The sequence below is a fragment of the Homo sapiens genome, chromosome 10 (genome assembly GCF_000001405.40).
Source record: "Homo sapiens chromosome 10, GRCh38.p14 Primary Assembly".
NCBI classification, from domain to species: Eukaryota; Metazoa; Chordata; class Mammalia; order Primates; family Hominidae; genus Homo; species Homo sapiens.
The window spans coordinates 77081528-77109488 of record NC_000010.11 but is presented as its reverse complement, the minus strand read 5'-3'; the positions used below and the strand labels follow the sequence as shown (position 1 = coordinate 77109488).

At 44.3% G+C, this 27961-nt stretch overlaps 1 protein-coding gene across 56 annotated transcripts in view, besides 2 other annotated features; it reads left to right on the top strand.

Moving 5' to 3' along the window:
• KCNMA1 (potassium calcium-activated channel subfamily M alpha 1) overlaps positions 1-27961 on the top strand; it is a 768207-nt gene that overhangs the window by 528320 nt on the left and 211926 nt on the right. For 53 of the 56 annotated variants that reach the window (NM_001271518.2, NM_001322832.2, NM_001410940.1 and 50 more), the window contains 4 exons: positions 917-1008; positions 18979-19089; positions 22896-23001; positions 24770-24852. In NM_001271518.2, the coding sequence (NP_001258447.1) occupies positions 917-1008; positions 18979-19089; positions 22896-23001; positions 24770-24852 (392 nt within the window). Of the gene's footprint in view, positions 1-916; positions 1009-1111; positions 1204-18978; positions 19090-22895; positions 23002-24769; positions 24853-27961 lie in introns of all 56 variants that reach the window. The other 3 variants (XM_017016222.3, XM_024447990.2, XM_024447989.2) reach the window with 1 other exon arrangement.
• Positions 12105-12292: a silencer, noted in NCBI's record as "fragment chr10:78856955-78857142 (GRCh37/hg19 assembly coordinates)". NCBI's record gives its function as "represses an EF-1alpha promoter that drives an FKBP-Casp9 reporter gene in an ReSE screen in HepG2 liver carcinoma cells {active_cell/tissue: HepG2}" and the evidence as "EXISTENCE:reporter gene assay evidence [ECO:0000049][PMID:32094911]".
• Positions 27403-27959: an enhancer, noted in NCBI's record as "OCT4-NANOG hESC enhancer chr10:78841288-78841844 (GRCh37/hg19 assembly coordinates)". NCBI's record gives its function as "activates a minimal SCP1, AML or CMV promoter by ChIP-STARR-seq in primed H9 embryonic stem cells {active_cell/tissue: H9 hESC(primed)}" and the evidence as "EXISTENCE:reporter gene assay evidence [ECO:0000049][PMID:30033119]".

Genomic DNA, 27961 nt, shown 5'->3' with positions numbered 1-27961 from the left:
ATCGAGGGGATTTCTGGCCACACGTTGGCAGTTGCTGCATTTTGTCTTTCAAAGTAGCTCATTTTAAGTTTAGATTTTTTTTTGCCATTTATGAAGCGAGTGATTAAAATCCTAATCCATACACAGCTTTCATGTATGTACACCGTGCGCACATTTATATGTAGTGATGCATACACCTCTCTCTGTTTTGTATGCATAGGGCCTATACATTTTAAAAATGTATATAAATGTGCACATGCATGTGTACATTCACGCAAGCATTTCTACAGCATCCGTGAGGTGCCTATAGATAAAAAGACCCATCCAGCCAGCCACAGGCCAGATGTTTGTTGGACAAAACATGGCAGATTTGTGTTTCTCCTTGCTATCTTCTCCTCCCAGGTGATTTCCTAAATTTCCCTTTTGAGCTTTTCAGTGTTTTTTTTTTTTTAATAGAAAAATGTAGTTTTTAATCTTTTGGTGTTTATTTTCTTTTGTCACTCATAAAAGCATTGATTCTCCTCTGAATTTTAATGACAAAGGAAGATCTTCTCTTGCGAAACTGTGTGTGTCTGTGCATGCACACATGTGTCTGTGTGTGTTTAGTTTCACTAGCATGTCCCCCTCTTGCCTATTTTTCTTCAGCAAGAAGAACTAGATATCACCTTATTTATTCCTGTCGCCTTTGTATTTTTCTCGACTGTGATTTTTTTTTGTTCTTTAGTTGTCAAGGTGGCCAATGTTTGTTTGTCTTGTGTATTTCTGGGAGCTTGCTCTCTTCGTGCTTTTAGTTTTTTATGATCCAACATATCAATATATACCTTTGCAGGCCTAATCCTTTTGTGTTTTCAGATCTTAGTGCCCCCACCCTCTGAACAGGTCCCCCCTTTTCTTTGGCCTGTCTTTTTAGTCTCTCTTCTGTCTCCTATCTTCTCAGGCCATGTTTGCCAGCTACGTCCCTGAAATCATAGAGTTAATAGGAAACCGCAAGAAATACGGGGGCTCCTATAGTGCGGTTAGTGGAAGAAAGTAAGTATGCCAAGAGGTTTTGCTGCCTCTGCTGCGGTAGAATCCTCTCTGCATGCCATTTTTTTTTTTTTTTGGCTCTTGTTTCTTTGTTTCATGCATGTAGGCAATGTTTGCCCGCTACGTGCCCGAAATTGCTGCTCTCATCCTGAGTCGGAATAAATTCGGCGGGACTTTTAACAAACATGGAGGCAGAAAGTAAGTCAGTTGCATCAGAAAAGATGTGGTTGAGTGACTTTCAGGAGTCCCTGTGGAGGTGCCATCTGAATTCTGCCCCTCCCCAACCCCACCGGGTGCTTCTGTGAGGGAAGGCCCAGTTTCTGCATGGGGTGTGATGTCAGAGGTGACCCGAGGACGTTGCCACGCTTGGACCAACTCCCATTCACAAATTCCAAGAGATGTAATGAATTTATCCTGAAAGGAGTCCATTTATAACTGGGCCCATATTTTCTCTTCTGACCCCTAACAAGTAAACAAAACTCGTTCATTCTTCCATCATCTGGCTATGTGATAAAATTCTGGTCCCTCAAACTAGTATGATGCCCTCCTATGGTGGTTTGTGTGTAGCAAGAACACAGGATAAGACTCTGGCAGAGAAGTCCTTGGGTGGCAGATCCAGGTCATCTGGCCTACTGCAAAGGCACTGCGGCCACTGGGAACCCAGTTCTCCTCTTCATCCAGGAGGCACCGATCTTATCCTCAAAGGGACTCATTACTCAGCTGAAATTCCTTCCGGGCAAGAAATAGTATATTTCTGGTAGTTTAGGGTACTACATGCTATTCCTGCCAAATCTTTTGTTTGGCTTCCCAAATGTGAATGCTTTCTTCTCGGGAACTATTTTAGTGTGTGCTCAGATCACTTTATCACTCTCGATATCAATGTGCAGGTTCAATAGAGACCCCAAGGTTTTTTCCTAAGTAGAGGGCAGTACCTTACAACCTCAAGAGGAGAATGCCATGGGGGAGAGGGGGCTGGCAGCAGCCATCCTTTATTTATTTTTTTAAAGCTTTTTCTGGAGTAGTCACCTTTGTTTGTTTTTGGTTTTGAGGTATAACTTACATAGAGTTAAATGTACACATCTTTAACATATAAAGTGAGGAACTTGTACCTATGTACACACCCAGTCACTATCATCCTACCATCCGGATCAGGACACAGAAAACTTTCATCACTCATGCCTCTTCCCAGTCATGGACGTTCCTATCATGGAACTGTTTTGTTTTGTTTTGTTTTCCCTTCTCGTTCTGTTTCAAATGAACTCTTAAAGAGCTTCTTTTGTTTTTTTAAGAGGAAATAAAATCAGACTGGGAGCATTGTATTTCCCTCCACTGCTGCCTTCTCTTTTTGACAGTCAGCCGTGTGGGACAGAGTGGACCCTCCCCTTTGGTCAGTGAGTCCAGTGCTTCCTGAGCTCAGGTGTCCAGGCCTCTGCACAGGAAATGAGGAGGTGGACAAAAGGGCTCATTTTCTTGAACTACCCACAGGACACCCGTTTCCTTTCAAAGGCACAAAGGACAGTGGGCCAGAGGAGGCCAGTTGGCGTCTTTTCCGGGAGGCAGCACATCCCTCCATCTTCCCTCTAATGGAGCCCTCCCCTCAATATTATCTTAACAGCCCTGGATGAGGTTAGAACCAAGCTGTTCTGATTTCTGGGCCATTGGTTGGATCCAAAAGGCCAAGTAAGTCCAAAGATTCCCAGTGGTCATGTATCCCATGCCAAGAGGAAAACAGCATCTCAATTCATTTTGCCTTGAAGGTGTGGACAGGTCTCCATAAAGCAGAAGGCATTCTGAGGGCCTGGGGCTCTCTTTATGGCCTCCCTATCTTCTGACGTCTCCGCCAGCATTTCCCAATCACTGCCCCAAGAAGTCAATAAAATCAATTGCCCTGAAGGCTAAGTTGAAAATATTTCTTGACTTTCATTCCAGGTGATTTTTTTTTTTTAATGAAATAATTTTCCTAGTCAAATGTGGGTGAGCTGGTGGGTGGGCTGGAGGCCGGCAGCTTTCGGTGCCAGCTGACCCAGATGGGGCTCTCAGCCCGGCACTCACTCACTGCCCCCAGTCCGATCCGGTCATCTTTCACCCTGGCAGTTCCACTCAAACTTTCAGGTGCTGATGACTTCAGATCACAGACTTCCTGCCACTCTGTTCTGGCTCTGTAATCTTTTATCACCGCTTTTAGCCTGGTTTTCTCTCTCTCTCTCTCTTTCTCTTTTTTTTCTTCTCCGTTTATGAAAATGCACTTTGCTTTTAATGTTCTTTTTGGGTCCCCACTGTTCCTGACCCTGCAGACACAGAGTCCGTCCTGTCATCAGCACCGGGCCTGTTCACTACTTTATGCATTGTTTCCTGGTTCAAAAGCTAATTACTAAGTAGTTTAAAGAAGGCCTTTGGTCACTTAGATCTTTCATCAGAAAATATAAGCTTGGGAAAGGCACGGTAATAAAGGGCCATTAGCACCCTTTGTTTGATGTTGTTTTTCCAGTCAGTAAAACAAGATTGATGAAATGTTATGTTTGGCCAAATTTTGAGTTTTCATTTGGAATTCAGTGTTGAGAGAATGGGCTGTCAGAATCAATAAGTTTTCTTTCGCTTGGGATATGGGCATGTGGTAGTAATTAGCAATATAAGGTCTTTAGTTGAGCAACCAAGCATGGATTCTGGCAGCAAACATAATGAGAAACTACAGTTGTTCTATTTCTAACGTCAAAAAGTTTCCAGATAAAATTAAATGCATTTGCAAAAGGAAAGCAGCTAAACTTTGTTGAAAGATAAAGTTCAGACTCTTAAAACAGTGTGCTGTGCTCTGAGTTTTTGTGTATGCATAAGTCCATGTGCTCTGCCCATGGACACACACATACATGTTCTCTGCTCCCCAGGACCCAATCAAATAAATGCCCAGAAAGAAATTAGAATGTATACATAGTTAAGGGATTTGTTTACTTGTGCATATTTTATTCAGAAATGATTTCTCTAACAATATATTAACTTGTCAGAGAACTCAAGGTAACTCATGATCTAAAGCTACAGAGACATAAAACTTTGAAATTCAAAGATTATTTAAAGTACAAAATTTAGGCAGAGAAGATCAGGGTTTTGTTTGTACAACACCCAAATTCAGGATATTTGAGAATATGAAGATTTCATTGGCATTTCATTTTCAGTTTTAATCAATGTGTTTGGCATAATATAAACATTTCAAGTAGCATTCTCAAAGCCTCTTCACCATCAACACTATTTCAAGGGCCTAGAGTGCCTTACCCAACATTTTCATCACCTCCTGAAGGATACCCAGTCCCTGCAGTAGGTATGGGTAATTGTGCACATGTGCGTGTGTGTTGGCTATTTCATGTATGTTATGATGGATTGGAGCATCTAAGAATAGGGGTTTGGGTGTCCACAACCAAGGGTTCAGTGAGTAGCTGAGGCAGGTAATCTCTCTGAGTTGGAGGGATTAGAGCTCTCTGGGCTCTTGGGCTGATACCCTAAATCTTATTCATAAGGGAGCCCTCCTGCAGCCCAGCCTGCCTCCCAAGGCCACTGCCTCCTCCTCCTTTCCTTTGTGTAAGGTCAAAGCTGCTTAGAGACAGGGAAGGCCTGAGGGCTGGTGACGCTCCCATGGCCTTTGGGATCCCCAGCTCTCTCCTCCCTCTCACAGCCCCTTGCAGTTTCCCCCAGAGGTCTCCTCCCTGAGTGTGATTCATTCCACTCCTGGTTAGTTTATGAGAACTGACAAGATCGTGGTCCAAGGTCACATGGCCAAGGGCCATGGAAAATAATCAGTCACAGAGAGGAATCCATCTGCTGTAACCCCCTTGTTAGAGGGAGTCCAGCCGGGAGCCACCCAGACCTTGTGTTTCCCATGTTGGGACTTGAGTGACTCAAGTTTGAGGCAATCCTAGGCCCAGGTGTTTGGGACAGAGAGAATGGGATGGGTTTGGATTATTCTACTGATTCCTGGTAGCCAAATGCTGACAGGGCACACGAGAGGGGAATGAGTCATGAAAGACTAGATGTAGCCAAGGTGGGAGAGGAAAGTGAGTGTAATTAACTTGAAGGAAGGTCCTCAGGATGAAGCTGCTGAGCCGCCATTCTGGTTTGGGGAATAGTTGTCATGGACTAACCCGTCTCTTGCTCCAATTCAAGAAAGCTGCCTGTGAAACTTAAATGCTGTGGCTTCTCTTGGAACATTTGCCTATAGAGACAGGAGTGCCACACACTTCCTGAAATGAGAATGTGAATCAGTGCAGCCTAAAGCCCCAGGACTGCCTTCTCTGGCAATAGTAATACCTACAAATATTTGCATATTTCAGAATCCTCACATTGATCCTGTGAGAAAGGTATTACCATCATCTCCATTTGGAATGAGTGAAGAAACTGAGGAACAGGGAGGTTAAGTAACTTGCCTGACATCACGCAGCTAGTAAAGAGTTGGGCTGGGGTTTGAACCTGGACAGCCTGCTTCCCTGCGTCCTGCTGCCTCTCCATGTCATCTCTTGAGACTCCATTCTGCTCTAAACTCAGTGATCTCCTATTGTTTGTATCTTCCTCCACCTTTCCGTATAAGGGGAGCCAGAGTACCGTGCTCATGATGGAGAGGAAGAGAAAGGCATGAGCTTCACTTTGGGGCTGTCTCCTCTCCCCTCCTGCCCACCCACTACCCCTAAGGGTCCTGGCCCCAGGATTGAGGGGAAAAAGATGGAGAGGGGACAAAACCATTCCTTCCTTTATTTTTCCCATTTGGTTAGACTAGAATTCTAATTCCCTCTTGAACACTTCTAGCAATGAAAGGCTCTCAAGGACAGACAGATGAACCACACCTAAAGTGAGAATTGTGCCTTTTTTGTGGATTTCAACATTTTCTTCCCCTTCCTGGCTCCATCCTTTAAAGGTAGTTCCATGGAGAATTGTAGTGATCTGCTAAACTTGGACTTCCCTGCTGGGCAGATCTCACCTGCAGAGCCTTCTATACCCTTGCAGATGGAACCACCTGTTCCCTTTCACTCCTTAGTTAGTCTGCCGCACAGCACAGAGCAGTATCTGGAGGTGGTTTCTTCCTTATCAGTGAAAGGCACAGTAGAGCCCCACGTGACCAGTTCTGCAGGGTGCATTCTGTGTGTTTGTTTCATAGCTTTGACTTGGAATATTCACCCTCAGGAGCCTGTATCCCGCTGGAGGGAGTTAGGGCTGTCTGCCTTCAACCTCGGATGTGGTCTCCACATTGGAAAGAGCCTTACATTCAGAGAGATGGGGACAGTTTGTCATGCTTTTCTATTTAAATATGAAACTAGAGTACTTAATTATCTTCTTTATTGTAAATGCTCATATTTTAAAGAGGATTCCATACTTTAGAAGAAATAATTGAGTATTCAATAGTTGAGAACAAAATTCAAGAACTAAAAACAGCCCAGCACAGTTAGTGACCTGCCTCACTGTCCATTCCTGTGGCCCCTCTCCATCGGTTCATTCACTCACTCGGCAGGCAGGCATTCTCTGTGTTATGCATCAGGCATGATGCTGGGTTTTGTTGGGTGCTCAGGGTTCATTGGCGAACAAACTACCCTCGGAACCTGTCCTCCTGGAGTTTACAGTCTCAAGGAGGTTGCAAGCACTGAGCAAGGGTACAACTAAAGCAAATGCCAATTACACATTTTTAATGTGTGCTGCAAAACCAGAAAAGACTAAGATTCTGCAACTGAGAAAAACAGGGATTAGTTACACTGGATAAAGTAGTCCAAGGAAGCGACACCTCAGAGGAGGAGATGCTAACTAACGCTTGTTCAATGACCTTGACCCAGCTTGCATTACCCACTAAGCTGGGGGAGCTAACACTCTTGCTTTTAAAATCCAGGTTATGCAAGCCCCACTTGCAAACATAGGTCTTCAGTTCTACCTCCACTAGAGGAAGTCTTAAAAACTGATTGCTCGCTCAGACCCCAACCTGCCTGAGCAGTGCTTGCTTGACTTATCGGGAGATGGCATCCTGCGTATCTTCCCTGCTTCCTGATTATTGGGTTATTTTTAAACTCTGTGTCTTTCCTTATATCAGAATTTGGACTCTCCTTCTCACTCAGAACCTTTGTTCCTTCCTGAGAGCGCACACTATTCCCTCCTGCCTGGCTGTCTTGTATCAACGTGGAATTCCACTCCATTTCCTCCACCACACTCATGTCTTGTCCACCAGGGTTCTAGACTGATTTCTAAAGGATTTGGAATTTTAAATTGTCTAGTGTGCCAGAGCATGGATCATTTATTTACAAAGACTCATTTAATCTATGGCCCCATAGCCTACCCTACCTTAAAGGAATTAACACGAGTCATGCCTTCATGTCCATCCATTCCACATGTGTTTACTGAGGGCTTGCTACCAGGCACTGGGGACAGATGCATTTCTACACATCCATAAAAATCTCCAACTATACCACAGCTTTTCTGAGCTACACATCGTACTATTTGGCCACCTAAGTGGTTGGGAAGTCCAATATCAGGGCTTATTGAAACCTCTTCTCTTGGTTCTGAGAGAGTCTTGCTACAACACCATTTCCCTCTCGACTCTTTCTGGGAAGGCATGGCCTCTAGCACTTGGGAATCGGATTTGAGATGATTTCATGTTATACTGACTTGGGCCGATCCACAGGCCTTTTCTTTCCATGTTTACTTGTGTCTTGGGCAACAGCTATTCTCACTTTTCCTCGCCTGCAAGGGGCGGACTGCTCTCATGAGGGGTGTTTCCTATAAAATGTCATTTACGATTTCTCTATTGCAGACATGGCTCTGGTCGAAATGTGACTGAAGCTTTGCATCCTACACAGACTTAGATCCCTCATCAAGTAGCCATTCAGCCCTCATTGCATGAGCCACGTGACTTCCCCAGCCTGAACCCCTCAGCAATGTCTTTGGATTCCTAGATTTTAAAAGCCATAAATTAGCAAATCATCAACATATCACCAGGAAGGATCATCTGGTAGCGATTCTAGTCAGAAGGAAACACAGGCCCCAATAACCGATCTTTATAAAGATATGAAGAACTGTAGACAGACAGATACAGTAAATAAGAAGACAAATAGATAATTCAAGTTGACAGAACATCTTGGACTGATTAGGCATTCTGCTTTGATTAGCATTAAACTTCTTGGGAACAGGGAAAACAAAAAATGAGCTTGCCCTAATACTTTGGAAAAATGACCTCTTGACTACTTCTGAAACGTGGTGCTGAGGGGTAGATACCCAAAGCGCTTGTCATTAGATGCCATGTCTTCTGATGTGATGTGCTAGGTATCCCTTCCTGATGAGAGGGGTCTTGGTGGGCGTGGGACATGGGCACTTCTTTCTTGGCATCTGTTTTGGATTCCTCTAAGCCATATCTTCAGTCCCTTTCAAACTTGAAGCTCTATTTAAAGAGACTTGGAAGCATATTAAATCAATTTCCTGATAATACTGATAGAATGAAGCTCCCCTCCTTTCCTGCTGTCACTCTTCCCTTCCACACACTTAGCAAAATGTTCCAGCTATTGTTCTGAAAACAAGAATAGAAATGTAGGTGGGAGATGAACTGTGTACCTTAAAAAAAAAGTCGTATTCAAGCCTAGATTTTCACTCTCAAATATTCTTTCTTCCATTAAAAAATAATTCGAATATGATTTCTCAAATTATAATTGCTGAAGATTCTGATCAATGGCTCCTTTGATTGGGTGAATCCTTGCCGGGTAGATTCAGAATCTCAGGAACAATTGCAGCCATCCAGACTAGGTTGCCCCCTGTTTTCTGTCTTCGTACCATGTCATTCACTCTGCTGGACTTCTTTCCAGAGCTGTGCAAAATGGTTCCTGGTAGCTTTGGGGTTCCTTCCATGCTGCTGTCATCATACTATGAAACTAAACCAGGAAACTTTCTAACTGGCCAAGTCCAGTGTCTCTTTTTATTAAAACATTATAGAGGTCAATACATTGTGAGAGTTGTGGAAATCTGATTCTCTTGTCCCAAGGGTTCCAGTCTCCACAGCCAGTACTGGTGTTGCATCACAATGGCCTGCTGTCACCCCCAGAACCACAGGGACTGTTCCAAATATGGGTACCAGTTGCTGGAAAAGTAATCTATCTCCCCTCCTTGTACCTTTCTAACAAGAGGACATGGGGGCAGTTCAGAGATAGATATGTGCCCATCTCAGTGGGAGCTTATATGACCTTAGCCATTGACTCCAAAGGCAAATGTCAGCTAGTGTATAGAACAGCCTTAGGAAAACTCCCATTCTAACATATTGGCTCAACAAACAATAATTTGAATCCCCACCATGTGCTGTGGGTAAAATGTGGTTCTTGCTCTCCTGGAGCTTATCTGAGATTCTGACCAATCAGTACCACCCAAGGAAACAGTGGCAGTGAAACAGAAGCTTGAGTATGCAGGAGCGTCTTCCCAGTGAAATGCTCTTTTTTCAGGAATTTTATTCATTGAAATCATGGAAGTGTACAATAATCATGAAAGCAAGAGACATTAGAGGGAAGCCTCCCAAAAGCATTTGATAATTCACGTTGTTGAACATACCCATTGAACAGTGGAGAGCATAGGTAATAGCAGATTGCCTTGTTCACCTAAAAGCTTACAGACCCAGTAAAAGAGGGGTGCAGAAAGATTTGGGAGGGTTGGGAATCCGCTGATGTGATCCTGAGGTCCACTCCTTTCCAGACCCCACAAAGGTCCTGCTGTGGCCTGTCATGCCTCGTATCATGCCTTCTTTTTACTTTTTTCCTTTTCTTTTTTTTTTTTTTTGAGATGGAGTTTTGCTCTTGTTGCCCAGGCTGGAGTGCAATGGCGCAATCTTGGCTCACCACAACCTCCACCTCCCAGATTCAAGCAATTCTCCTGCCTCAGCCCCTCGAGTAGCTGGGATTACAGGCGTACGCCACCATGCCCAGCTAATTTTGTATTTTTAGTAGAGACGGGGTTTCTCTATGTTGGTCAGGCTGGTCTCGAACTCCTGACCGCAGGTGATCCGCCAGCCTTCTAACCTGTAGCTCCTTCCAGTCCCTGTGTGACTAACAGATGCTGGAGGTCTGCTGGGGCCTATGCAAGTATGTTGAGTCTACAGAGTGAATGGCTAGCAGCTTATGCTAGCTGTGGCAACACCGTTGGGTGTGGCTGGAGAACAAGGCAAAGATATGTCAAGTTGGTTGTCATTATGGGAGGGTCAGTCCCAACAGTATGTGCTCAAGGACCATGATACATGATTCACCAGGGGTGTTAGGGAGGGAGGTGGGGCTCGCTTTGTAAATCAAAACCCTCTCCTGGGCAAAATTCAGAGCCATTTCTTTGCTTGGACTCATTCTCCCTCTATTCCACCTTCATCCCTGAAGAGTGAGGCTGACCTTTGCCTGCCTTAGTCTTCTCTCAGTCTCTGCTTGTACAGAAGCAGCATTAAAAATGAAATCGGGCAAATCTGCTTTGATCTGAAAAAAGGAAAGTGCCATTCAGCTCCCTGATTTCTCTGTAAGAGCAGAGAACCATCTAGCATTGGGAGATTCAGGTCAAGGGAAGACTTGCTTATTTTAAAATGGCCAAAGGCCACCAAGCCCAAAGTAATGGGATGAATAAGATGCAGAGGGGTGAGGGTGTTGGGGAGGGAGGCATAGGAGGAATCAGTGCAGTTTGTGAGGGTTCAGCAACTGTGGAATTGCTTACTGAAGAAAGCTGCAGAATTCCCCTTCCAGAGAGGAAGGAAGGAAAGAAAGGAAAGGAGAGAGAAAGAAACCTAAATGGTGGTAATACTTGCATACTAGGTAACAGTGAGAATTAGGTGAGAAACCAAAGTAAAGGTAAACAAGTCTACCAGTTAGGATTCTCTGGTTGCAGGCAACAGAAACTTATTTTTTTGCTGACTTAAGAAGAAAAGTTTTTTGTTTTTTTTTTTTAAAGGTTAGGGTACCTTAGAGATTCCAATGAAAAACTGAAGAGCAAGATCCCAGAAAGGACAGAAAAGAACCAGAGATGCAGCTCTGACACTGAGGAAGTGGAAACTCGGGAGTAGTCATTACAGGGTTTTGTCATCAGGTTGAATCAACTCCCACTGTGATTAGCATCAGCCCATCCAAGATTTAAGAGTACCCATTGGCCTCACTTGGGCAGAAAACCTTCACTAAAGGTCCCAAGACTGTATATAATTGGGAGACTGTATTTAATTTGGGGAGGAGCAATTCCCCAAATTAAAATGAGGTGCTGTCCACAGAAGAGAGGGTGTATGCAGGACAGGCAAAATCTACCAATGTCCCCGGCACTGAGTTTCTCAGAATTTAAAGACTTGGACTGAGGCTCCATGTAGGCTACAAGCTACAAAATATGTGTGATCATTTCTCACCACGGTCTAATTATGGAGGTCTAACTGTGATTTGGGATGGTGGAGGTGTAGACACAGATCCCTCTAGGGTAGCTGAGGTTCTGACTGTCTGCATGCGATAAGATGCAAAGTTTTGGCCCAGGTGGGACATCCCGGTATTCCCCACTGGGGCTGCCAGTTGTCTGTCCTCTGACCTTGGGGCTCTGCTTTAGAGGTGCCTTTGCTGCACTGTTGGGATCTATTTGCTCAGACTTCTGCCCCATTTAGGGAAACAGCAGCACAGCCTGCCACATCCAGAACAGCTCCATTGACAGCTGGAGAAGAAGATTACTTTATTCACTTCCTCACTAGGAGGGAGAATGCATTTCCTTCCTTTGTGATTAGCAAAGTACTAGATGTGTCCATGGATAGGAAATTATCTTATTGCTGAACCTCCTTTTTTTTAAAAAAATTATTTTAACAGGAAATGGTGATAGTCAGGGTTTGGGGTTGTGGGACTGATACACACTCTCATTTGCTTTGTTTTTATTTTTCTTTATGTGTACAGATCCCTTACAAACTTGAAATATGCTAGTAGATTCAGGGTGGTGGAATAAGCCTATGGTCTAAAAGGCTTGCAGTGAACTACCTGTTAACTTTTTTCTGCACTTACCATGGGATAGAGTCTCCAAGATGCATACTTTGTCAACCAATCCATCAGTTAACAAATAGTTCCTGAAAGCCCAGCAAGTTTTGGGGGTTCCAAGCCAGGTCCTGGGGTAGGGTGGAGGGATGAGGCAGCACAGCCTGGAGTTAGGCTTCATTTGCCCATGATGTCTCCCCTATCTTTACTGAAGTCAGTCTCTTTGAGACATTCAGTAAAGGAGGAAGTGGGAAGGTGGGAGTTGGATTAGTCTTATTTTTTGGCAGTGGGGGATTGAGCCTCAAGGGAAGCGCTGGGAAACAGTAACCCTGAAGGACATGCCCCAAATCAGGGAAACCTGCATTAAGACTAAGTAGCCAAGAAAAGCACTACCAGGTGAGAAGGAAAGGAAAGGCCAGCTTGCAGGAGTGTCATGGAGAGGTGGTGATGCAGACACCAAGGGTTCAAGGTCAACCTAGGGGGGCAAACGTGAAGCTTTGGTGCTGACCACTGTGTGGTTTAGGTCGTTGGGTCTCTAACCCCCCACGCCCTGCTTCCTGTATGATACAGTGCTGCTGGTTCTCTTGAGAAGTACTTCTTAAAATTCATTCCCATCATGTCAGGGGCTACCAATGGTGAGATGCATTTTGGGAGGAGCAGGACGAGGAAAACACAATTAGAAGGCTCAGCAGAAAGACAGAGAGTCTAGCATATGTATTTGATATAAATATTATAGTTTTACAGAGACATCTAGATCAATATGTGCCACATTTCATCTACCTCTTTGACAAAGTGAGCACAATGTATTCAGGCAAAGCTGTATAGGATTTTCAATTTACTCTGTCTGATTTATTGTGACAAGATAGCTCTGGGTTTTTTAAGTTCTTTATACTCGTTCCAGTAAAAATGGATATAGTATCTTTAAAAATAAACAGCCCAGAGCTGTGCATTTTACATTGTCTTCCTAGAGCGAGGCTCTGCTAAAGAAAGATCTAAGGCCTCCCCGCCCTCGCAGAACCTGATCGCAGTAGGATTTGCTGCCATCCCTTCTCTTTGGCTTTTTTGAGGGAGTGTGGGAATGGTTGGGGGCAGTGGGGACAGTAAATAGGGAAATCAGTTAGGAAGCGATTGCAGATGTCTAGATAAGGTATGATGGAGGTGTGAACTAAGGTCGGACAGAGAACTGGAGCCCTGTGTGAGGATTCATCAGTGTCTGGTGGGTGCAGCCCAGTCAGCCTGGGCCTCTTCATTTTAGTGACTGGCCCCAGGTCACTGAGAACTCGCCCCCCAGTCTCCCAATTCCCAGCTTAGGTTATCCTCCCTGGCACCAGCTGCTTTCTTTCATCAGAAGGCATGAAACTGAGGGAGGTGTTGTGCTCTGGATCTGGCACTCATCTTGCAACCTGTTTCCACATCAAAGAGAAGAAAGGTGCTAGATTAAACAATTGCCAAGGGCTATTCATTCAGATGCTGAGATAAACTTAAGAACGTGGGAGGGGGCCCAATGGTGACTATTCCATGGTCACAGTTTCCCTTTTCAAAGGCTACTGGCTCTAACAACCAGTATCTGAGGCTTGGGAAAAGTATGTAGATTTTCCTTGTCATAGACCTAAAAGTCATCTTCAGTGGCTCTCTTGATGCCTCAGTCACTGCCCTCCTGTCCTCTTCTGCCTTCTGCCTTAAGTCACTTCCCCTAGGTTGTCCTGTGTACCTGTGGAATTGAGCTCTGAAACTGAAGTTCTGGCTCAACTTGGGCATGCAGGCTTTCCTGGCCCATCACTGAGAAGAGAGTAGAAGGATTGAGAAGAATTTGTGGGATTTCATTCTGGAGGCAGCGATGCTTAAATGGCAGGAGAAGCACACCCATGTATATTTAGTGAAGATATGCACATGAAATAAGCAACTGGCGAATTTATGGTGACCCTCAATAGTGTTCATAATCATCAAACTTCTTCTCATGAAGTCATTCTTACCCCTCCAATGCCGTGACCCACCGCACTGCCCTTTTCAGTTAAACCAGCCCATATTTATGGAGCCCTGACCCAGCACCAGGCACTACTTGCTCACACTGGATGAATAATTCCTCTCCAGAAAGTGCCGTTGGATACTATTTTGGCATTGAAGATGCTTCCTTGTGTTTCTGAGGTGGATCTTTTATTCTAAGCCATGACCTGTCAGCTTATATCTATTTTATGTTACCTTTGCCCAAGAAATATTTGTTTACAGATCCAGACCTAGCATTTAAAACCAAAAACTTCATCAGATCAGAAATGGTTATTGATTGAGGACTATTGGTCATCTTCACAAATTGAGTGGTCAGGCCCTATAGAAATTGGTCAGGACAATCGCTGATGGTCTAAGAAAGTTCAGATCCACATCCACAGATGGGGAGAGATTTAGCTACTCTCATAGCTGAACTTTCCTAAATATTCCCCATTGTAAATGGATCATTAAGATTCTTATTATCTTCTAGATTCCAGGCTGGTGAGGAAGTCCTGAGCTGTACATGACATGTCTAAAATAGACATTTGGGGTAGGGCGCGGTGGCTCATGCCTGTAATCTCAGCACTTTGGGGGCCAAGGTGAGCAGATCACTTGAGGTTGGGAGTTCATGACCAGCCTGGGCAACATAGCAAGAACCTATCTCTACAAAAACCAAAAGAAAATTAGCCAGCTGTGGTGGCATGCCTATAGTCCCAGCTACCCAGGAAGTTAAGACAGGAGGATCGCTTCAGCCTGGGAGTTCAAGGCTGCAATTACCTCTGATTGAGCCACTGTACTCCAGCCTGGGCAACAGAGCAATACCCTGTCTCTAAAAAATAAATAAAATATAATATAAAATAAAATGGACATTTGCATCACTTTGCAGCCCCTTAGCTTGCTCCAATCATATGGCTTCAGTTAAGTTTGGCTTAGAGTTCCTGACCGGTGGAACTTATGATTTCTGCCTGTAATCAGACTTTGCTAAGACTATCATGATACTGCCTATCCAGCCAGACTCTAGTGATCTTGCAAAACTGTGATGGTTTATCCACTCCAGTTCCCAGACTAAACCTCTCCCTTGGCCAGTGGAGGACCCCTCCAACACCCCCTCCACCATGTATCCAGGAGGACCTCTGTGGGTCCATTTCTGCTTGCCCTGAAGGAGCAGAAGCTGAGATATACAAGCCTCTTTCCTTTCCACCACCACCTTCATCTTAGTGGGAACTGAAGTGGGAGACCCAGATTGCATCCTGGGCAAGTCACTTTTACTTGCTGTGGGATGCCAGGCATATATGACTTAAGGAAAGAGTTTCAGAGAGGTTACCTGAAAAGACTCAGGCAGTGAGAACACAGGGTTGTTGAAGGATTAGGTGGGATTGCATAGGCCACAGAATACTTTATATTGGTTACATCCTAATTTACAGATACCATATGGCACTTACCATTTCATAGTGCTTACCATGGAGCAGATTACTTGGCCCTTCCATGTATCATCTCCTTAGATATCAGGATAACTTCATGAATCAGGCACCAGCTCTGGCCCCTCAAAGGCTCTGGCTTTTTAATTGTAAAATGCAAAATTGGTACATTGTCCAAGACTATTTAGTTATTTAGTGTCTGAGCTGAGTTAACACAGGGCTATCAGAGTATGAATCTCACATGGTAGATATGTAGGCATCATGGAACCCAACAGAGATAACTTTGGATGGGGATCTTTTTTGGCATTCTTCAAATCATGCCCTGTGAACAACCATTACTCTGCCTCCAATGAGGTCACACCCTGCTGTCTATCTTAACATATTTGTGTTGATATCTCTAATAATTGAGGATGCAATAAATTCTAGTTCTCTTCTTCCTGCAATAATATCCTTCCCCAAACTATGGCCCTAGAATCTTCAAAAGTCTTGAAAATATTTCTGGTAAATAAATGTTCCCCATTCACCATCCATCCCTCATGCTCTTGCAGGGCCCTCCTCAGACACAGGCTGGCGGAAGCAGATCTCCTAATACCGATTGCTGAGTTAGAGGCAGCTTCTCCCCATCCATCAATTCTAACTGCATTCAAACATTTTCAATATGTGGGCTCCTTGATAACTTTCACTGTATGGAAAACAAAATGGAGGGAAATGATTATTGGCACAAAAGGGGGAGGCCATAAATCTTCAAATCAGATATAGGACAGATTGGAACAATATGGGTTCTCCAAGGTTGCCATGATAATGTACCTAATAACTCTCCTTGGGCAAAAAGGCAATCTGCTTTCAATCAATCTCGCTTTTTTTCTGAGCAAAAATACCAATTACGTTGAAGGAAGGTTTTTTTTCTTCCTTTTTTGATAAAGACAGCTCTCCACCCCAGAAATCATGCTGTGGCTAAAAGATATATATTTTCAATTGTCTAGAATGGTATTGGATAGCTAGCACCAAATGAAAAAAGTCAATCCTTTTTTTCTCCTCACTCTTGCCAGCATTTGTCTACTTCTTAAGAGAAGTGAAAGTTAATTAAAGGCTTAAGGGATAATATTGATTGCATTGGAATATATTTTATATGTACCCAGTACATTTTCAAGGAAGAGAACCCTGACTTTTTCTAAGGCTGAATAAATCAGCCAGCTGAGCTTTTGATTCAAGGGTGAGAGGGGGGAACTCATCTTTTCCCCTTGCACTTCTCACACATCTTTCCTAGGGATGAATGATTTCAGAGAGGAGGAGGAGATGCTGGCTGATGTTCATTCAGTTCTTTGCATGCTGGGTAGGAAGAACGAATGTTCAGGCATTTCCCCAGACCTATCATTGATTTGAGCCTAGCTTTGAGTAATAACCAGGCTTATGCTGGTATAGAACTTCGAACTTTACAATGCCTGGCACAGGAGGCCGGCTGGGTGGTATTAACCTCTCAGCTTCCTCCTGCACTGAATGGGAATAAATACTTTGCCCACACCCTTGGTCGCAGAGCAGGGAATCACATCTGGCTTACTTTCACATCTAAGTGATGAGAACAGCCTCAGCCACGTATCTGTCCTGTGGAGATACCCACGCATTGGATTCATGTTGGCTTTGCTCCTAATCTTGGAAGTCTATGTGCAGAGGATGTTAGAATGGCAAAGTAGCCCTATTGTCAGTTGCAAGGAAGTTAGGTCAGTAGGGGAATTCTGTTTCTCATTCACTTCAAACATATTTGGCAAATTCAAAGTCTGAAATCTTATTCAGAACGTGCAAATTTATTTGAAGTATTTTGTCCATGTAAATGTACATGTGCCACAAGAAACATTTTAAAATATATGATAAAATGCATATCATCCAAATGTTCAATCTATATTGTGTATTCTGATACACTGTGTGTCACACTGTCTTAGCCTCATACTACTCACCATATACTAATGAGGGGGTTAGTCATATGGGCTTTGGGCATAAAATTTGGGTGGGTGGCTAAGGGACCTTCATCAACCTAGCAGGAGAGCAAAGTGATCATGTTAAGACATCTCTTCTGAAGTAGCTCATTGACACTCTTCCCTCACCTTGGTGGCCGCTGCGTGCCTGATTGCTAAGTGCACCACCGTAACAATAACAGTCTATAATGGTGATATTATTAACTGCATCGTGCATATTATTGATTTACTCTTTGTTCTGCATCATTATCCTTTCACCAATGAGTTTACTGCATTATTCTCACATACTTAGTCAAGCACCAAATTACAACGAAAGGGCAGGCTCTTATAATGGCATCTAATGGAACATTGCATAAGCCATCATCACTGCCTCCTATTATGAGCCACCTCCAGCCAATGAGCTTTCTGCCTTAGTGGAATGTGCACAGAGCAATTATGAAGTGCAAGGGACATGGCCATTCTAAATTTTACCCAGGAAATTACCATGCTGCATGTTCACCACCTGCCCAAGTCTCAGAGCGCAGCTAGAGACTCAGATGCTGTCACTATGAGCCTGGGGGGCACAGGGACAGGAGTCGAGCCTCTTGCTACATACAGTCTCTTCACTAGAAGCCAGTGGTTTTATCTCCACAGTCAGTCCCTGGCTTTTTGTCTTGTGGCTGACTCTTGCATCAAATGCTCACTCCTGACTGGGCATTATGTGGCACATATAAGTGGCCATGACATTGCCTGGTGCCAAAGTCAGATTGGCCAGGAGCCCCGAGCGGTTGGAGGGACTGTCAGTCTCAACAGTTGTGGGGCTCATCTCTTCCGGGTGAGCCACTACTTCCAGAAACAGAAGTCCAAACCACCCTCAAACAAGGCGAGCAATTCCAGCCTCATCCCTTCCCAGCATCTCCCCATCTTGAGGTAAATTCCTTTAGCTCTCCTGGAAATCCCGGGCACCCTAAGGAAGCAGCCCTCTGGGGACGCACAGCCAGCTGGCATGATCTTCCATTCCATAGGCATCCCAGCCCCATTTAGCCCTGAGTAATGCTCACTTACTGTAAAGTGTTACATGCCCCCATTGTCGGAGGAGTTATAGTGGAAAAATGCAAAATTTCCTTTTTACTGCTTATGGCCAGCAGAACCTATAACGTGTCAGGCCGCACATTAGCCACCCTGATAAAAGTCTGCTTTCTTACACACAAAATCATCGTTTCAGCAAGATTTGTTATCTCATTACCTGATAAGCTCTATGTCATAAACCAAGACTCATACAGTAAATCTCCCCGGAGGACGCTTTGTGGGCAGAAAGGGAGAGATATGAATCTGCAAGGGACTTGATAATGCAGCATTTAAGCACAAGCATAATGTCACTTATTGTTAAATGCATAAAACCACTTGGCCAAACAGTTGGGCTTTTAATAGGATTTTGTGCAGCATCAGGTGAGAAGCCATATGGCTTTTCTGTCTAGGAGTCTCAGCACCTGCTAGCACCGCTGCTTTGCCTCACTGCCCTCTGGGGATGGGAGCTGGGCTTTTATGGAGGCGGAGGGAGGAGATGAATGCTTCCCCTGCAGCTGCCTGGCTTCTGCTGTCTTGCCAGGGGGTGGGATGCAGGGTCCTGTCGTGGTGCCTGGCCTGATCTAACTGGCCTCTCCTGTTCAGGCACATTGTGGTCTGCGGACACATCACTCTGGAGAGTGTTTCCAACTTCCTGAAGGACTTTCTGCACAAGGACCGGGATGACGTCAATGTGGAGATCGTTTTTCTTCACAAGTAAGAGCTTCCTACTGCTGTCAGACCCTCTGCCCAACCACACACCCTGCGAGGGACTCCCTGAATGTCTGTAAGAGTGGAGGTCTTGGGGAATGGCACTGGGGATGGGGCCAGAGTTGGGTAAGCCATGATCCCTTTTGGCCTCGTTGGAGAAGATATTGCAGAACCAATGGAAAGGGAAGCAACACACTGGTTCAATGATGAGAGCAGAGTCTGCCTCTGTGGAGGCGATTCTGGGACCACATCCGAGTTTATCTCTGGAAGAAATAATAGTGGAGCTCATTGTGGGTCCAAGTCATCATCATTGTCCCCTTAGCAATCTGGCGTGTCCACATTATCTGCTGTGGGATGATTAGCTGTATGGTGTGGATACGTTAGGAGTTCTGGAGTCAGTTGGTGACCAAGCAAGACACCAACTTAAGAGGAAGCAGGACAGAAGGTAATAGTAATAACAACTGCCGTTCCTAGGAACCCCCAGCATGGGACCCTAGCCCGTCACTGTGCATGCAGGCTCCCATTTACTCCACAAACAGAGTAAAAATACATATTCTGGACTCAGATTCCCTGATCTGAATCCTGACTCAACCAACTACTGGCTGAGCAAGTTACTTAAGCTCCCTGTGCCTCAGCTTCCTCATCCATAAATCATGGAGATGATAGTAGTTCCTACCTAGTTGGGCTGTGATGAGAATGAAATGAATTAATCCATATGAAGTGTGCAGAGCAGAGTCAGGCGTGCAGTAAGTCTTCAATAAGTGTTAGCTATCAGCCTGAAAAATAACATATATTTGGTTGTATAATCCACTTAGGAGGTAGGTCTTATCTTGTATGTTTTACAGGGGAGGAAAGCAAGGTATCTCCCTTCTACCCAATGTTGAGGTTTTCAACTTTGACTAATCCTCTTTTTAGATAAAAGGTAGTCTGCCCCAGGAATGGAGAGAATTAGGGGGCTCCATTATGGTGACATGTGTGGTACCATGGTCATCTTCTTTTATGGAGATGGGGCTGTCATGGGGCCAGTCCTGGCACCACATCGCAAAGTCCAGGACAAAGCTAACATGTTTGTGCTGGCTTGACGTGCTGTTGACTACCCAGCACGCGGTCCTACTCTGAGGTTCCACTGAGGTCGGCTTCCCTACAAACTCCCTGTTTGGTGGATCGTCGTCCTCTGGCATTTGCTCACAGAATGCTAGACTTCTGACTTGTCACCATGTTGGGGCACCAACATTTCTCTTTTCTGCACTGATTTCTCCAAACTTTGAAAAAACAGACCAGGCTATGTTAGCACAGGAGCAGGTACCCACAGGTTCCATTCAGTGCTTAGCCACTGATTACCTGCTGTGTGGCCCATCCTCTACTGAGCGTTTTGGAAAGTTCTCTAGAGGTATAGTGTGTAGGCTGTGCCCCCACATGAGTTGGGCATTTCAAGATGAACACACATGCAACCATTAGAGACAACATCAACCCTGTGTTATCCAAGGGATGCTGAAGTCATTTTGATCAGGTGGCAGAAGTGACTGGGGACATCTCTTTCAAGGAGCATCAGTCTATGGTATTACCCGGGCAGGCTTCTGAATGAGGTATGACTTGTCATGGGTCTGAAAGACTGGTCAGATTCACAGAGGCAGCCACTTTTCTCTCATCCACTGCTTTAGTTTGAATAAACAAGCTGGTAAGGTGTGGTTGCTCATGCTTGTAATCCCAGCACTTTGGGAGGCCAAGGTGGGAAGATCACTTGAGCTCAGGAGTTCAAGACCAGCTTGGGCAACACAGTGAGACCCCATCTATACAAAAATAGAAAGATTAGCCAGGCATAGGGGCACGTGCCTGTAGCCCTCGCTACTCTGGAGGCTGTGGTGGGAGGATGACTTGATCCTGAGAGGCAGAGGTTGCAGTGAGTCAAGATGGCACCACTGCACTCCAGTCCCTGTCTCCAAAAAACAAAACAAAACAAAACAAAACAAAACAAAAACTGGCTGCTCATGCTTCCATTGCTAGGATTCACCTTTGTATCCCTAACATCCATCAATGTCATACTTATAGTAGATGGCCCAGTTAATTAACCTCTTGAAGCTCTGGGTTAATAACATACCTGCCTATAGGGTTGTTTTGAGATTTAAATGAATTAATGCTCATCATGGCCAGGCATGGTGGCTCATGCCTGTAATCCCAGCACTTTGGGAGGGCAAGGTGGGTGGCTCACTTGAGGCCAGGAGTTCAAGACCAGCCTGGCCAATGTGGCAAAACCCTGTGTCTACTGAAAACACAAAAATTAGCCGGGCATGGTGGCACATGCCTATAATCCCAGCTACTCTGAAGGCTGAGGCACAAAAATCACTTGAACCTGGGAAGTTGCAGTGAGCAGAGATCCTGCCACTGCACTGCAGTCTGTGTGACAGAGATAAACTCTAAGTAAAATAAAATAAAATAAATAAATATTATTTATTTTACTTATTTATTTATAATACTATTTTACTATTATTTATTTAAAATGTTATCTGCCATATAGTAAATGTTACAAAACATGAACTATTATTATTATTGTCATTATGGACTTCACAAATGTTAGGCAAGTGTTGACTTATCACGGTACCTGGCGTATAGTAGGTTCTAACTAAATATCATCTCCCAGTGCCTAGCACGGTACCTTATCGACAGTCTTTTTCATCTCTGCAGAATTAACAAATGAATAAATAGGTCACTTGTTTAATCCTTGTCCTCCAAAGAGAAAGATGTCAGTACAGATCAGCACCAAGAAATGTGATGAGTCGCATACATGTGTGTGAATCAAGAACAATAATGAGAGTAAATTAAGTCTGTCTGTGGCTCCTCAGAGTGATACTTTTTGATCCAGGCCTTGGGGGATGAGAAGTCCATGAGACACAGAAGCAGAGATAAGGTTCATGATGGAGGGAACAGCAGGATGCCTCTCCCAGGGGAACCTTCGGCTAATCCTTGATTGTATTAGTCAGGGCTCTCCAGTGAAACAGAGTCAATAGGAAATATATATATCAATATATCTAATACAGATATATATCGGTATCTATATATTGATACATCTATCTATCTATCTATCTCTAGAGAGATTTATTAGGAAGAATTGGCTCATTTGATTACAGAGGCTGGGAAGTCCCACTGCCTGCCACCAGCAAGCTGGAGACCCAGGAAAGCTGGTGGTGTTTGAGTCTGAGGGCCAGAGAGTCATAGAGCCAATGTCAACCCCAGTCCAAGGATAGGAGAATGACAAGAGATGCCCAGTTCAAGCCGGCAGGAAAGAAGCAAAAGGGACAAACGCCTCTGTCCTCTGTTTTATTGTTCTCTTCAGACCCTCAAAGGACTGGATGATGCCCACTCCCACAAAGGAGGGTAGTCTACTGAATTCACTGATTCAAATGCCATTCTCATCCAGAGACTCTCCCAGACACACCCAGAAATCACACTGGATCTGGGCACCCTCTGGCACAGTCCGCATAAAATGAACCATCCCACTAGTGGCGCAGCCCAGCTTCCATATTTATAAGATAGGAATTCCATTCATACCGAAGAGAAGACATTTGTCCTGAGGTCTTGGCCTTCCTAAAGCCCATGAACCTCTTTCTTTTACCATGGTACTGGTTTGGTTTTCAGTTGGGCTGGGGTTTTACTTCTCTTGAGTGTGAGTCTTTTATTTATGGCAAGCAAAAGGGTGACTGTAGGTCACAGCCTCTCCCCAGGGCTCCCTGTGGAAATTAGAGAGGAAGGAGCCCATGGAGGCTGAAACCCCCGAGTCCATTAAATTAATAGCGATTTCTTCTCTCCCTGTGTAGCATCTCCCCCAACCTGGAGCTTGAAGCTCTGTTCAAACGACATTTTACTCAGGTGGAATTTTATCAGGGTTCCGTCCTCAATCCACATGATCTTGCAAGAGTCAAGGTAAGGAGGAAGAGGTGACTTCTGCTTTTATTCCATCTTGGTGTGGGTCTGGGGGGAGTCCTGACTCTGTGCTGAGGGGACACACCTCCTAGGTTGGCCACGAGTCATCTCCTAAACACCTAATGAGATCAATCACATACCAGCAACCTTGAGGTCACCCTTCCACTGGTCCCAGGACCTCCTTCTGCTGGCATATGCAACACTACCTATAACCATCCCACACTTGGACTGGTCATAACATGAAACTTGCTTTGCTGGATTCCTCAAAATCAGCTACTCATCAAGGAAGTAGACCAGTTATATGGACCCAGTAGCTTTATACAACATAATAATCAAGTAATTCCTATATTGAACACTTAAGTTGGACTCAATATAGCTCTGACTTCTATTATTTACATCTGAAAGAAACATTAGGCTAAAATATAAAATAAAATTTTACTAAGCGATAAAACATTTGAGCTTTCTTTTTTCCCCATCTAAGACGCAGGGTGTAAAACTAAACATGCAGTTATCTGATATCATTGATAATGGGCGAATCTTTTTTTCCAGAAACTGGTAATTTAGAATCTTCTCATAAAGCACACCTGAGGCTTAGAAGGGAAAGGTACAAGGCAAAATGGCATCTGCTACTTTACCTATGTAATATAGATTTTGTAAGCATGTTCAATATTTGCATGCCAGGGGGTGTACATTAATATAATGAATTCACTGAAGTCTAAATGCTAACTGTGGTCACCGCATAATTTTGTAAATAATATAATTGGCCAAGATGAATAATCCAAAAGGATTTGGATAAATTCTTTCTTTATATTATTAAAGAAATCAGAGATGATTTGTGACATACCACGGAGGATATTATGGCCTCCCTCAAAATCCAGGAATGATCTATTAAGTATAACATACCAAGTAGGACAGATTGCAGACCTGAGCCAGCATAAGAATTCTTATGCTCATAGAGTCCAGTTAATCTTGATATTATCCAGACATAACTCAAGTTATTGCTTATGTAAAATCTTATGAGAACGTAGGGACAATTGTTATTGTTCGTGGACCTAATTTAAATGCAAGCAATCATTAGCACATCAAACTCATGGTCCCCTCTAAGGAATAAACCCCTGTGGGCTCGTGTTTGGATAAGTCAGTAGGTATATTTTGAGTTCAACTGTAACACATTATTTCATACATAGATTTGTTGTCTTCTGAATATCTGAATACTAATCGGATACTAAGCAATATGGTGATGTTATCTGATTTAGAGCTCTGATCTCTTCCCAGCCTATAGAAAATGAAGATGTGAAAAAGGTCAGATGAAGGACTTCAGAGTGTACATTTCTGAATCCCCAATACTCAGTTACCTTGCTAACTGGAGAGAAGGGATTTAACCCACCCACCTCCAACTCCTGATAGGAAGAATTAGGATGATGGTGCAGATGGTTGAGAAAGGAGGTGGGGAGGAGACTGAAAGGCTTAATTAATTGTTATTTAAAGAAATCTGGAAATCCTACAAGTAAGCAACGATGCCAAATGAAAAGTATAATTACCAAGGTACATGTTGTACCCTCCAACAGCAACAAGATGAAATGTTTATACCATAACAAGAACTTGGAACCTACACTTTTGACAAAAACTATAATCTCTCAGGCTCTCAGGATTGTTTTTTTTTTTTCTTTGCAAAGCTTCCCCAAGAAGCTGTCAACAGAGAGAGACTACACTCGAGCATGGCTATTTATATGTTTGTGTTCTGTGAATTTTCCTTTCGGTGTCTTAGATAGAGTCAGCAGATGCATGCCTGATCCTTGCCAACAAGTACTGCGCTGACCCGGATGCGGAGGATGCCTCGAATATCATGAGGTAACTCTTGGGGCGCTGCGGAAGGCCCTGGGCTTGGCAGTCTGTGGCTGTTCACGGCCCTTTTGGATCTTCTGCAGAGGACTATCTCTATGAGGCCTTTTTGCCCCACAAGCCACTGTACAACTCACCAGCTGCATAGGCCTGGGGGAGCCGAGGCTGTCTGTGTGGGTTGGGGCAGTGGCACACAGGGTGTCACCAACCGGAAGCTCACCCTCAGCAGGTGGCAGCTCTAGGGCTTACAGCTGGCCTTGGGTTTGAGATTCCTTGAGACAGAACTAGGAAATAGATTGAGATGGGTGCTGGCCTGAATTAAAGTACCATGTTCCCTAAAGGAAATGGGCCTGAGATATCTTAACTAAAGGCAGATGCCCCCAGGGGACATTTTGCAATGTCTGGAGATGTTTTTGGTTGTCACAACTAGGGGACCGTGCTGCTGGCATCTGATAGGTAGAGCCCAGGGACACTGCGAACGACCCTGCAATGCACAGGTCAGCCCCCAAAACAGAGAATTGTCTGGCCCAGAATGTTAATGGTGTCGAGGCTGAGAAAACCCTTACTAGGGCTTTCCAAGTGTGTCTACGGCATATTGATTCCTATCACCCCAAAGGGGAATTTAGTGACCAGTTAGGCTGTTTCATCCAGTTTCCCAAAATTAATGTTCTTTCTTGAAAGGCTTTTCAGTGCTTTTAATACTAATATGCATCTCTGAGATAACGTACTATAGAACACTTTCCAAACCTATTTGACTATAAGCCTCTGCTCCTCTCCCACCTCCCCCAACCCCCCCCCGTTTTTTTTCATAGAGACAGAGTCTCGCACTATCGCCCAGGCTGGAGTGCAGGGACTCAATCATAGCTCACTATAACCTTGAACTCCTGAGCCCAAACGATCCTCTCACCTCAGCCTCCCAAGTAGCCGAGGCTATAGGAATGTGCCACCACACATGGCCAATTTTTAGATTTTTTTTTTTAGTAGGGACAGGGTCTTGCTATGTTGCCCAGGCTGATCTCAACGAACTCCTAACCTCAAGTGATCCTCCCACCTGGGCATCCCAAAACTCTGGATTACAGGAGTGTGCCGCTGTGGCCCTGCCCTGCCCTGCCCTGCCCTCCCTTTTTTTTTTTTTTTTTTTTTTACAGAACATCTAGGGGAGGTCATACTGGGAAACACTGTGCAGTGCTTTTTGTGCACAAGGGTTAGGCCTGTCAACTGCTAATATTGGCCCCAACACCAGCACCTTATTCTTTTCTTAATTCAGAAAAAAAGCAATTGTTCAGTTTTTGTTCCTTGCATAAACCCAGTAGTCACATTGTGTGACAATGAAATGACTAAAAAGTCAAGGTATTTTGCTCCAGGTAGTTAGAGGCCCTTTGGAATTTGTCTTTTCTGTAGCATAAATTGCAGAAGAGTTAAGAGGGCTGAGAGGAAATGATAAAGGGAAGCTTCTGGAGAGTTGAGCTAAATTCAGTGGGATTTCCGTCCCACTGCATTCCCAGGAACTTTTACCTAACTGTGAACAGCCATCTTTCGGGCCGAAGGTTCCCCCTCTACCGGTGGCTTGGTTTACTGCCTCCTGGGAACTTACCTGAGGTTGAAGGTCAAGAAGTTACCTTTACATCCTGACAATGTTTGCATTGCCTTTGTCTTTGCTTTCCATCAGTGGCCCCAAGTGACCGGAGCTTCCCCATCAGTGAGGTGGGGGAATTCCTCCAGTGCATTTCAGAGGAGCCAGTCCTCCCTTAAGCATCTGGTCCTTGTGTCTGGCAGGCAACATCTGGCACCATCTTCTCTTGCCACTCAGTTTTCTTTGGCAATATGCTTAGTGAGGTCATTTTAAGGAAGTGGATGCGTGAACTCTTCTAAGCTTTGGGCTTGCCAGGCTGCAGAGAGAGGGTGGAACAGATTCTGGCTTCACACCTGGGCTCATTCCCGAATCAGTTACAGCTGCACAGTGGCTACACCAGGATCAGGGTTGGGTGTGTCACTTGTTCCTTTCTTTGAAGTAGGAAGGATTTTCAACTTTTGACACCTTTTTCTGTCATTGGAAATGATTTAAAAAAAAAAATGTAACCCTTTAAGGAACCTGGCTTCACTGTCTTCAAAATTCCAAATGGAAAACCAAAAGAAGATGAAGCTTAATGTTTTGACTCCACAGAGATGTTTGGGGCTACCTGAGTAATAGTTTTGAAATGGGTGTTTCTCTTAATTGTAGTATTTTATTTAAACCCTAACTGTGGTAGGGTTAATATGAAGACACATAGGTACTAGGGTGACTGGCAGGACAAGGAGGCATAGAAATTACTGGTCAAGGGCGGGGCTCAGTGGCTTACACCTGTAATCCCAGAACTTTGGGAGGCCAAGGTGGGCAGATCACGAGGTCAGGAGTTCAAGACCAGCCTGACCAACATGGTGAAACCCCGTATCTACTAAAAATACAAAACTTAGCTGGGTGTGGTGGTGTGTGCCTGTAATCCCAGTTACTCAGGAGGTTGAGGCAGGGGAATCGCTTGAACCCAGGAGGCGGAGGTTGCAGTGAGCCAAGATCGCGCCACTGCACTACAGCCTGGGCAACAGAGCCAGCGAGGCTCCGTCTTAAAAAAAAAAAAAAAAAAAAAAAAAAAAAAAAAAAGAAAAGAAAAAAAGAAATTACTGGTCAAAGGTAGTATCAGAAATGTAATTAAGTAGAGCCAGAACTGAGGCCTTGGCTGCAAAAAGAAGTGGGAAGTTCAGGGTTAAAAATGGGCTTTGTCTTTCTCTTATTTGTATAATCCTCCTTCCTCCTCAGTTTAATGAGACCAATCTGCCTCCTTTGAAATTAAAATGTCAAAGATCCATTTGAAATGAGCTAATGCAGAAAACTGGCTGAAGCTGTGAACTGCAAGGCAGGGCTGACAGAGGCTCAAAGTCCTTGAGTTATAAGCGTGGGCCAACGCAACACTTTTTCAAAAATAAAATGAAATCCTTCAAGTGCAAAAACGCAGGGTGAATTTGTGCTGGGAGAGGCTTTAGCGTGATCCATTTCCTAAATTCGTACGTTGCAGCTTTTCAGATAAAGCTGCTCCCTGGCTGCCTTCTCTCCATTTCTGCACTAAAAGGGGTGAAGTGGGGA